The sequence below is a fragment of the Homo sapiens genome, chromosome 1 (assembly GCF_000001405.40).
Source record: "Homo sapiens chromosome 1, GRCh38.p14 Primary Assembly".
Classification (NCBI taxonomy): domain Eukaryota; kingdom Metazoa; phylum Chordata; class Mammalia; order Primates; family Hominidae; genus Homo; species Homo sapiens.
In genome coordinates, this window is record NC_000001.11 from 29,650,571 (window position 1) to 29,663,318 (window position 12,748).

Below are 12,748 nucleotides of genomic sequence, written 5' to 3' on the forward strand. Positions count from 1 at the left end.
GGATGGCCTTCTAGGACTGTACCCCAGGGGGTTGGGCCAGGATTCAAGGCAAGAGCAGGGGACCTCTGGGTGCTGCTGGCACTTGCGGTGGGTGGGCAGGGTGGAGGGGAATGACTGTTTGGAGGAGAATGAAATCCTGCCCTGGCCTGTGTCCATCTGTGCACAGCCCCACGTGAGGGACCCTGGGCCACTAAGGTTCGGTCTCCCCTACCACCTCTGGTCTCTGTGAACTCCAGGACTTCATGACACCCCAGATCTATTTTTAACAAGCTTATTAACTTTAAAAAGTTTATTTGCATTCAGTTTTCACTCAACTAAAGCCAACAGCCTTTGCAAGCTTGCCTTATGGAAACTGAAAGCTGGAAGGGGCCTTAGAAGTCACAAGGTCTAACCCCTTTAGAGGGTTCCCCATGTCTCAGGAGAGGGTCCTATCTATAGCACAGGACTAGAGATCTGTCACATGCTGGCCCCAGGACGCTTCCAGCTCCACTCTGGCCACAGTAGACATTCCCCCAACATGTTATGAACCTGCACTGCTGTGGGCCTTGGCTCCTGTGTTGCCCCATCTGGAATACCCTGAAGACACTTCCCCTCTCCCACCTGGTCCAATTCTAAGCATCCACCATGAGATCGCGTCTCCTCCTTGGAACCTTCCTGATCCCACCAGGCAAAACTAACTGCTCTGTCTTTCATCTCCCATTGAGGTCTCAGCTCAAATGTTCCCTTCTCACAAAGACCTTCACTGACCCAACATCTGATGGGCACTGTCCTTTCCCCACCTCAATAGCATGACCCAGTTTTGATTTCTTCACTGTACCTGTCCCTACCTGGAATAGTCTTGCTGATGCATTGCTTATCTGTCTCTTTCTGCCTCCCCATTCCATGGTGTCAGCTCTTGGGGTGCAGGGACCTTGTCTGTTCACTGCTGCAGCCCAGGCCCCACACAGGGCTGCACAGGGTGGAACCACAGTGAGCCTTTTTGGGGTGAATAAGCCTGAAGTTGAGCCTCCTCCAGATCCCAGGTTCTGTCCCTCCACTGTTCCTGAATGGTTGCTGCTCTGGAGCAGAACACCCTCCCTCACCTTGGCTGCCCGTACTGGCCATGCTGGCTCTCTGGGGCAGCACGAGGAGTTCAGAGCCCCAGGCTGGACCCAGCCAGACCACTCCCCTGTGATGCTTTATGGTTCCTCTCCGGGCTCCTGAGATCAGCCACATTTTGAGAGTTTGGAGAAGGAACGTTAAGGCAGCCAAGTGGATAAATCACATTTTTAAAAAATGGGCCAAACATGGATTTACACAATAGCTTGTGACAAATGCAGCTTCAGGGGATGATCTGGCAGGAAACATCCACTTTTCCAAAGGGCACCACGGCCCTGGTAGAAATAATGAGGGCTTTTTTTAGGATTGTAATTATTCCCAGGTGCTGACAGGCCAAAGATCTGATCACTGCTGTCACTCAGCACTCACGTGTGCACCCAGCAGGCTCTATTCTTGGGACTCCAGGTAAGCGTCCTGCTCCCAGGGGTGGCTGGCATGTCCAGTGTACGTCCTCGTGGTTCCTGACCCCCTCCTGCCCACGCACAGTCTTGGAGGGAATAGGGCACGGGAGGCTCCTGTGAGCGCAGGGCCAGGGAGGCAGCAGATCCTTGGCCAATGGTGTGTCTTTTCTCCTGCCACAGCTCTAGGGCAGGGGAGGCTTCAGGGTCTCCTGAATGTATCCAACAGGCTCATGAGGCTGGGGGTGCAGTGATTAGTGATCGGGGCTATGAGGCTGTTGCTCAGCAGAGAAATAAGGGCCCCTACTGTACAAGCTGGAAAAGGCTGTGGTGGCTGCCCACCTGATGCTTTGATGGTCCTGAGCGGGGAATAGAGGCCTATGGGAATGCTGAAGGCTGAATGACGCGAGTGTTGGATTCTGGGAGAATTGTCAGTGCCGACCTCTCTGCAGGAGGGATGGACTCACTCATGTGGTGCAGCTGCAGAGGGCCAGGCACAGCCCTTGGCCTTGGCATCTGTATTAGGCTGTCCTTGCATTGCTATAAAGAAATACCTGAGGCTGGGTAATTTACAAGAAAAGAGGTTTAACTGGCTCACGGCTCTACAGGCTGAACAGGAAGCACAGTGCCAGTATCTGCTTCTAGGGAAGCCTCTGGAAGCTTGCAATCATGGTGGAATGCAAAGAGGGAGCAGGCAGGTCACATGGCAAAAGCAGGAACAAGAGATAGAGAGTCTGGGGGAGAGGCCACACACTTTTAAATGACTGGAATCTCCTGTGAACTCAGAGAGAGAGCTCACTTATCACAAAGGAGGTGGCCCAAGCCATTCATAAGGCACCTGCCCCCATGATCCAATAACCTCCCACCAGGCCCCACCTCCAACAGTAGTGGATTACATTTCAACATGAGATTTGGGTGGGGACAAATATCCAAACTATATCAGCATCTCACTCAGGGCTCACAACAGCCCTGTGAGGTATGTGTTAGCCCATTTCCCAGATGAGAAAAGTGAGGCTCAGAGAGGCTAAGCGACTGGCCCAGCATCCCCTGGTGAATCCCTCCTCCACCTTTTCCACCTGGAAAAGACACCCAAACTTCCTGGCTTGTGCACCAGCCAGAGATGCCCCAACCCCACCACTCCAGGGCTGGAGTGTGAAGGGGGCTGCAGGGCAGGCCATGGGACCTTGGTTGGGTTCTGCTCACTGGGAGATGACTGAGGACCAGTGGCGTCTCTCTCCTGCCCCCATGCCACAACTTCCTGCAAATCAAAGGGAGATTGAAGCAATTATATGGACAGCAAGGGTGAAGATTATGGCTCTGGGCCAGTGCCTGAGTGGCTCACAGAGCTCTGGGACCAATGGGCTTCATGACATCCCTGCTCAAGGCAGCTCTGCCCCAGGCCCAGAGCAGCTGCTGGCTCCACTCATGCCCGGCTCCACCCATCCTTCTTGAATCCTAGAGGGCCCACTGCCCCGAGGAGCCCTCCCTCCACACTGAGCTCCCCTAACTCTGCCTCAGCCTTGAGGGGGATCTTGGTTCTGTACCCATCAGTTCCCCTGCACTGGGGGAATTCAGGACCCTGGACAAGATCCTCAGGGGCCAAAAGTTCAGGAGCTGAAGCTACTATCTGAAGGACCCATCTGGCCTGGGTCCTCTATCTACTGCCTCCACCTTGGACCAAACTTCACTATATCTGCCTAGACCCTGCAATCGTCCCCAATATGTCCCCTGTCTATTCTTGTCCCCTCTTCCCATCCATTTCTATAGCAGCCAGGAGGTTCTTCATAAAAGTTGAAGCAGAGTAAGTCCCTCCCCAGCTTAAACTCTCTAGAGGCTTCCCTATTGCACTTCAAATGAAATCTGAATGCTCATCAAGGAGTATCCACTATCAGTCAGGGTCTTAGCAGGGAGCAGACCACCAAGGACCAATGGGAGAGGGTGATTGAAGGGAGGGTAATGGAGGGCAATTCACCAAGGTGTGGCAGGGATACAGGAAGGCAGCAGGGGATGGTGAGGCCACTGGGGGCCGGCAACAGTGGGGGGCTGTTTCCATCCCGGTCCAGAAAGAAGCTGTTACCAGACCTCAGAGAGAGCTGCAGCCTCAGAAGAGGGGTCACCAGATGGAGCTGGGGCTTCAAGAGAGAAAGAGAGCCATTGCAGCTATAGTTAAGAGGGAGGGAGCCAGGGAATAAGCACCCAATATCTTTCTACTCCTGTTACTTGGTCTCCTCTGGTGCTTCTAGAACACACAGAAGCTGGGGCACAAGAGGGCACAGGAGCCCTATTGATGCCATCCATTCAGATCAGTCTCCTGGCAGGAGGCTGAGGTTGGGTCTGGAGGGCACTCAGAGGATGGCAGCACATGTAGCCCCAAGGTCCACCCGATCTGCCCCTGCCTGTCCCTCTGACCTTGTCTCCTGCCCTCTGCTCTCACTGACTGTTTCCACTACACTGACCTCTGCTCAGTAATATGGTTTGGGTGTGTGATCCCACCTCCCACCCAAATCTCACATCAAATTGTAATCCTCAGTGTTGTAGGTGGGGCCTGGTGGGAGGTGATTGGATCATGAGGGTAGTTCTCATGAATGGTTTAGTACCACCCCCCTTGGTACTATATAGTGAGTGAGTTCTCAGGAGATCTGGTTGTTTGAAAGTGTGTAGCACCTCCCACCTTGCCCTCTCTTCCTCCTGCTCTGGCCATGTAAGATATGCCCACTTCCCCTTTGCCTTCCGCCATGATTGTAAGTTTCCTGAGGCCTCCCCAGAAGCAGAAGCCTCCATGCTTCCTGTACAGCCTGTGGAATCGTGAGCAAATTAAACCTCTTTTCTTTATAAATTACCCAGCCTCAAGTACTTTTTATTTTATTTTATTTTATTATTTTTTTTGAGAGAGTCTCACTCTGTCTCCCAGGCTGGAATGCAGTGGCACAATCTCGGCTCACTGCAACCTCCGCCTCCTGGGTTCAAGTGATTCTCCCACCTCAGCCTCCTGAGTAGCTGGGAGTACAGGCATGCACCACCACACCTGGCTAATTTTTTGTATTAGTAGAGATGGGGTTTCGCCATGTTGGCCAGGCTGGTCTTGAACTCCTGACCTCAAGTGATCCACCCACCTTGGCCTCCAAAAGTGTTGGGATTATAGGCATGAGCCACCGCACCTGGCCTCAAGTACTTTTTTATAGCAATGTGAGATCTGACTCATACACTCAGTTTCTCAATTACGCAGAATGCATTTCTGCGTCAGGGCCTTTGCACCTGCTCTTTCCTCTCCCTGGGAGGTTCTTCTTCCTCATCCTCTCATGGCATTGAGAGCTCAGCACAAATGTCACCTCCTCCTAGGGGCTCTCCAGACACTCATCCAGCTCTGTCCCCGCATCCTCCACCATCACTTCTGTTGCATTGTGTCCCTTCATTTGCACATAGCACACATCTCTATCTGACGTTTGTGGTTTACTTCTTGACCAGCTGGTGCATCAGCACCAAGAGATTAAGACCAAGTCTCTTTTGTTCCCTGTCATATCCTCATCACTGAGGGCAGTATCTGCATCCACAAAGTGATTAAGGAATGCTTGTTAAATGACTGTCTAATAACCAAGTGAGAGGGTAATGGGTAAGAGCACAGACCCTGGTGTTGGGACATAATCTGGGTTTGAAGCCCAGCTCTACCACTTTCTTAGCTGTGTGCCTTTGGTCAAGTCACTCAGCCTCTCTGAATGACTCAGTTTCTTCATCTGTTAAATGGGAATAATAAGATAACACTCCCCTCTGGGTTGTTGTGCAGATTGAATGAATAAACATTTGGCACTGAACCTTGCCTGTAATGGTAGGTGGTAGAGGGGCATTTGCTATTTTCCTTATTGTTGTCCCTGATTTTGGCATCTGAGCTGCTACCTTGCTCCTCCTCTTGAGACCCCAGGCCATCTAGGGCTGAGTCTCAGCCTCTCCCCATTTCCCACAGCTGTCTTTAAGCTGTGCGGCATTCCTGAGCAGGACGTAAGAACTCCTCCAGGCTCTGACCACTCTCCCAGCCTCGCACAGCGCCCTCCTGCCTCCTTCCCTGAGTGGCAGCTCCAAAGTCTTCCTTCAGCTCCTCAGACAAGCCCTGCCTCCCCCACCTCAGGAGGCAACATGCATGCTGCTCCTCCTGCCCCCCGACAGCTTTCCTCTCCTCTCTCCTGCATCTCTCAGTCTCAGATCAAATATCACCTCCCCTGACCTCACCTGGGCCAGGTCAAGCCTATCATCCATCTTGGGTACCTGCCCATCTCCTTGGCAACACCCCTGCAGGTAGTCATTAACTTTGTTAGCTAGTAAATATTTTCCTCCCCTGTGGGAAAATATTCCCTGGGTTCCGTGCTAGGGGTAGTGGGTCTTTGGGCAGCTGTTACCTGACCTAGGCATGGCATCTGATCCCAGGTTACCCTGACCCTTTCACCCAAGGCTCATTCATTCACTTCTCTCTCTAACTCCATCCCTCCCTCCCTTTTTTCCTCCCATCCCCCAAAGCATTTACCAAGTTGAGTTAATCTTTTATTTTAGGCCCTGTGCTAGGCATTTTAGTTCTAAGATGCTGCTCCAGACCTGGGCTTCCAGCCCCCTAGTGGGCGTCGGAGGGGCACACAGCACAGAGTGCCAAATGTGTGAGAGGGATGAGAAGGAGATGCAGGGGAGAGCAGAGGAGGCCTTAACCCAGCCTGCTGGGTGTCTGGAGTGGGTAGTCAGAGAAGGCTTCCCAGAGGAGATATTTTGAAAGAGTTTTGAAAGACACATGAATTTCCTAGGAGCTGAGGAAACAGCATCTCAGGCATAGGGAGCAACATTTGTGGAAGACCAGAGCATTTTTGAAACTTCAGCAGCAGACAGGTGGAGGGAGGGTAGCGAAAAAGAAGACATTTATGCAGCCAAAAAACACATGAAAAAATGCTCGTCATCACTGGCCATCAGAGAAATGCAAATCAAAACCACAATAAGATACCATCTCACACCAGTTAGAATGGCGATCATTAAAAAGTCAGGAAACAACAGGTGCTGGAGAGGATGTGGAGAAATAGGAACACTTTTAAACTGTTGGTGGGACTGTAAACTAGTTCAACCATTGTGGAAGTCAGTGTGGCAATTCCTCAGGGATCTAGAACTGGAAATACCATTTGACCCAGCCATCCCATTACTGAGTATATACCCAAAGGACTATGAATCATGCTGCTATAAAGACACATGCACACGTATGTTTATTGCGGCATTATTCACAATAGCAAAGACTTGGAACCAACCCAAATGTCCAACAATGATAGACTGGATTAAGAAAATGTGGCACATATACACCATGGAATACTATGCAGCCATAAAAAATGATGAGTTCATGTCCTTTGTAGGGACATGGATGAAATTGGAAACCATCATTCTCAGTAGACTATCACAAGAACAAAAAACCAAACACCACATATTCTCACTCATAGGTGGGAATTGAACAATGAGATCACATGGACACAGGAAGGGGAATATCACACTCTGGGGACTGTTGTGGGGTGGGGGGAGGGGGGAGGGATAGCATTGGGAGACATACCTAATGCTAGATGACGAGTTAGTGGGTGCAGCACACCAGCATGGCTCATGTATACATAGGTAACTAACCTGCACAATGTGCACATGTACCCTAAAACTTAAAGTAAAAAAAAAAAAAAAAAAAAGATGTGGTGTGTTAGATCCGGTGTGCCTGCAAGCTCCCCCCACCCCGAATGCATGCCTTCTGGGATGTGATGTTTTGGTTCCTCTGATCAGGAGGCTGAATCTATTTCTCCACACCTTGAATCTGGGCTTGGCTTGACAATTTGCTTTGGGCAAGATGACAATAACATAATACAATCAGGGACTTGAAAGATGCTTGTGCGTGGGGCCAGCCTGTGACTGCCATCATTGGCTACTCAAGGATTTGAGACCATGTGGAGAGATGCCCCATTTGAGGCCAAAACAGGTGACTGAAGCTGTCTGAGGCCATCCAGCCCCAGCTGAGCCAGCCTGGACTTGTGGGTCAGCTAGACATAACCCACAGAATCATTAGAAATACACGTGTTTGTGTGTGTGTGTTTTCCCAGAAACTCCCCATTTGAGAGGGGATGATTTTTAATTTATAAATAAAATACACATAACATAAATTGACCATCTTAACCATTTTTAAGTACAATATAGAGGTCAGTGGTATTAAGTACATTCATAACGTGCAACCATCACATGCATCTCCCTAACAATTTTCATCTTGCGAATATGAAACTCTATACCCATTAAACACTAACTCCCTATCCCCTCCTCCATCGTCTGCTCAGCCCCTGGCAACTACCTCTCTACTTTCTGTTTCTATGATTTTGCCTATTCTAAGTATCTCATATAAGTAGAATCATACAGTATTTGTCCCTTTATGATTGACTTATTTCACTTAACATAGTGCCCTCAAGTTTTATCCGTGTAGCATGTGCCAGAATTCCCTTTATTTTTAAGGCTGGATCATATTATGTTGTATGTATATATCACATTTTGCTTATCCATTCATTCTTCAATGGTCACTTGGGTTGCTTCCACTTTCAGCAATTATGAATAATGCTTCTATAAACATGAGTAAATAAGTATCCCTTCCGAACTCTGCTTTCAATTCTTTTGCATATGTACCCAGAAGTGGAATTGCAGGGTCACTTGGTAATTGTGTTTTTAACTTTGTGGGGAACTACCATACTGTCTTCCATAGTGGCTGCACCATTTTACATTCCTACCAAGAGTGCACAAGAGTTCTGATTTCTCTACATCCTTGCCACACTTGTTATTTATTTATTTATTTATTTATTTATTTTTTAATAGTTGCCATCCTAATGGGTCTGAGGTGGTATCTCATTGTGATTTTGATCTGCATTTCCCTAATGATTAATGATGTTGAGCATCTTTTTATTTGCTTATTGGCTATTTGAATTTTTTTGAGAAGTCTCTATTTAAGCAATTTGCCCATTTTTGAATCCAGTTTTTGTTGTTGTTGCATTTTAGGAGTTCTCTGTATATTCTGGATATTAATCCCTTATAAAATAATTTGCAATATTTTCCCCCATTTTACGGGTTGCTTTTTACTCTGTTGACAGTATCTTTTAATGCAGAAAATTCTAAATTTTTATGAAGTTTAATCTGTCTATTTCTTTGTATATTGCTTGTGCCTTTGCTGTCATATTCAAGAAATCATTGTCAAATCTGATGTCATGAAGATTTTGCCATATGTTTTCTTCTAAGAGTTATATTGTTTTGAGTCTTATATTTAGGTCTTTAATCTGTTTTGAGTTAATTTATGTATATGGTGTTAAGTGTGGGTCCAACTTCATTCTTTTTCATGTGGATATCCAGTTTTTCTAGCACCATGTGTTGAAGACTGTTCTTTTGCCACTGAGTGGTCTTAGTGCCCTTATCAAAAATCGTTTGACCATGTATGTGAGGGTTTACTTCTGGGCTCTCCATTCTACTCCATGGTCTATATTTCTGTCTTTATACCATTACCATACTGTTTTGATTACTGTAGTTTTGTAGTACATTTGTAGTCTTCCAAATTTGTTCTTTTTCAAGATTGTTTTGGCTATTGGGGTCCCTTAAGATTCCGTATGAATTTTAGGATGAGTTTTTCTATTTCTGAAAAACACATCATTGGAATTCTGATATGAGTTGCATTGAATATGTAGATTGTTTTGGGTAGTATTGACATCTTAACAATGTTAAGTCTTCTTATCCATGAACATGGAATATTTTTCTCCTTATATCTTAAACTTCTTTCAGCAATGTTTTGCAGTTTTCATTGTACAAGTCTTTTACCTCATTGGTTAATTCCTAAGTATTTTTTTGATGCTATTGTAAATGGAATTGTTTTCAAAATTCCATTTTAAGATTGTTTATTGTTAGTATATAGAAATACAACTGATTTTTTTGGTGTTGGCTTTGTATCCTGCTACTTTGCTGAACTCATTTATTAGCTCTAAGAGTTTCTTTGTGAAATCTTTAGAGTTTTCTACATATTAGATCATATCATCTGTGAACAGAGATAATTTTACCTCTTTCTTTCCAATTTGGGTTTATTTTACTTCTTTTTAAATTTATTATTTTTTTGCCCAATTTCTCTGGCTAGAACTTCCAGTACTATGTTGAATAGAAATTTTTTTTTTCCTGATCTTAGAGGAAAAGCTTTCAGTCTTCCACCATTTAGCATGATGTTTACTCTGTGTGTGTGTGTTTTTAAATAATGGCTTTTATTATGTTGAGGTAGTTCCTTTTCATTCTTGGTTTGGTGAGTATTTTTTTTTTTATCATGAGATGATCATGTGTTTTATTTTCCATTGAGATGATCATGTGGTTTTGTTTCATCATTCTTTTAATGAGATATATTACATTAATCAATTTTCTTGTGTTGAATTATCCTTGCATTCCAGGAAGAAATTTTGCTAGGTCTTCGTGTATAACATTTTTATATGCTGCCAAATTTGGTTTGTTAGTATTTTGTTGAGAATTTTTACATCATTGTTCATAAAGGATATTTGTAGTTTTCTTGTAGATGACTTTGGTATCAGGGTAATGTTGGCTTAATAGAATGAGTTAGAAAGTGTTCCTTGCTCTTCACTATTTTTGGAAAAGTTTGAGAATAATTGGGATTAGTTCTTTAAAGACTTGGCAGAATTCACCCATGAAGTTTTCAGATGCAGAGATTGTCTTTGTTGAGAGATTTCTGATTACTGATTCAATTATGTTATTATAATAGTTATAGGTCTATTCAGATTTTCTATTTCTTTGTGATCTGGTGTTCATAGATTTTGTGTTTCTAGGAATTTGTCTATTTCATCTCGCTTATTCAATTTGTTGGCATACAGTCTTTCATAGTATTCTCATATAATTCTTTTTATTTCTGTAAAATTGGTAGCAAGGTCCCCACTTTCATTTTTTATTTTAGTAATTTGAGTCTTCTTTCTTTTTTTCTTAGTTCATCTAAGTAAAAGTTTGTCAATTTTGTTAATCTTTTCAGAGAACAAACTTTTGGTTTTATTGGTTTTCTCTTGTTTTCGTATTATCTATTTCATTTATCTCTGCTCCAATTTTCATTGTTTTCTTCCTTCTTCTAGCTTTGGCTTTAGTTTGTTCTTCTTTTTCTAGTTTGTTAAATTGTAACATTAGGTTGCTGATTTCAGATCTTTCTTGCTTTTTAAAATGTAATCATTTATAGCTATAAGTTTTCCTCTTAGCACTGCTTTCACTGCATCCCATATGTTTTGGTATGGTATGTTGTGTTTTCATTTTCACTCATCTTTAAGTATTTTCAAGTTTCCCTTAGATTTCTTCTTTGATCCATTCGTTGTTTAAGAGTGTGTTGTTTGATTCCCATGAATTTGTGAATTTTCCAGTTTTACTTCTATTACTGATTTCTAACTTTATTCCATTGTGGTTGGAGAAGATACCTTGTAATCTATATTTTGAAATATATTGAGACTTAATTTTTTGTCTAATGTGTATTTGGTCCTGGAAAACTTCCCATGGGCAGCTGAGAAGCATGTGTATGCTGTTGTTATTGGGAATAATGTTCTGTATATGCTTGTTAGATCTAGTTGGTTCATTGTGCTAAGTCCTCTATTTCTTACTTTCTTCTGTCTGGTTGTTCTATTCATTAGAACACCTTTTAAAGGACAGCTTTTCCAGTTATAGGATTCTTGATTGACAGCTTTCTCTTTTAGCACTTTGAATATATCAGCTTATTTTCTTCTGGCCTCCAAAGTTTCTGATGAAAAATCTGTGGATAATCTTATTGAAGATCAATTGTATGTAATAAATTCCTTTTCCCCTGATGCTTTTGTCTTTCAAAAATTTGATTATAATGCATCCTGGTGTGGCTCTTTGAGTTCATCTTACTTGGAGGTCACTGAGCCTCTTGGATGTTTACATTCATGTCTTTCATTAAATTTAGGAAGTTTTCTGACATTATTTTTTTCCAATATTTTCTGTGCCCCTTTCTCTTTTTCCCTTCTGAGACTCCCACAATGCATATATTTGTCTGCTTGATAGTGTCCCACAAGTCTCCCTTAGGTTCTATTCAGTTTTCCTCACTGTTTTTCCTTTCTATTCTTCAGAATCCATAATTTCCATCATTCTGTCTTCAAGTTCATGGTTCCTTCTGCCTGCTCAAATCTGTCTTTGAATCTTTCTGGTGCATTTTTAATTTCAGTTATTGTGCTTTCCAACTCCAGAATTTGTTTCTGGTTTATTTAAGGTTTTCTATCTATTAGTATTTTCATTTTTTCATGCATAGTTCCTATGGTTTTAACATGTTCTCCAAATTTCATGTGTTGGAAACTTAACCACCAAATTCATATGTTGATGAGATTTAGAGGTGGGGTCTTTGGGAGGTAATTAGGGTTAGATGATGCTATCAGGGTGAGGAACCCATGATGGGACTGGTGGTTTTATAAAAAGAGGAGGAGGGATCTGAGCTAGCACCCTCTTGCCCTCTCATCATGTGATGCTCTCCATTATGTTATAATGCATGCAGCAAAAAGGATCTACCAGATGCCAGAGTCATGCTTTTGGACTTCCCAGCCTCCAGAACCATGACCTAAATAAACTTATTTTTAAAATATATAAATTAGGCTGGGCATGATGGCTCACACCTGTAATCTCAGCACTTTGGGAGACCGAGGTGGGAGGATCACTTGAGGTCAGGAGTTCGAGACCATCCTGGCCAACATGGTGAAACCCATCTCTACTAAAAATACAAAAATTAGCCAGACATGGTGGTGCACATCTGTAGTCCCAACTACTCAGGAGGCTGAGGCACAAGAATTGCTTGAACCTGGGCAGTGGAGGTTGCAGTGAGCCAAGATCGTACCACTGCACTCCACCCTGGGCCACAGAGTAAGACTCTGTCTCAATTAAAAAAAATATACATATACATATACATATACATATACATATACATATACATAAACATAAATTACCTAGTCTGTGGTATTTTATTACAGCAATGGAAAATGAACTAAGACAGTAGTTCTTGAGTTTCTCCACATCTTCCATTAGTTTTCTAAGCATCTTTAAGACAATCGTTTTAATGTCTTTGTCTAGTATATATGCCATCAGATCTTTCTCAGAGACAGTTTCTGTTGATTAATTTTTTCCTTTGAATGATCCATATTTTCCTATTTCTTTGTATGTCTTAAGATTTTTTTTTTTGTTGAAAACTGTACATTTGTACCTAGCAG

At 43.8% G+C, this 12,748-nt stretch overlaps 1 long non-coding RNA gene across 3 annotated transcripts in view, besides 1 other annotated feature; it reads left to right on the forward strand.

Moving 5' to 3' along the window:
- Nucleotides 1–12,748, forward strand: part of LOC107984934 (uncharacterized) — an 84,718-nt gene that overhangs the window by 45,991 nt on the left and 25,979 nt on the right. The window lies entirely within an intron of this gene.
- Nucleotides 403–482: an enhancer, noted in NCBI's record as "active region_612". NCBI's record gives its function as "activates an Ori minimal core promoter by ATAC-STARR-seq in GM12878 lymphoblastoid cells {active_cell/tissue: GM12878}" and the evidence as "EXISTENCE:reporter gene assay evidence [ECO:0000049][PMID:35858748]".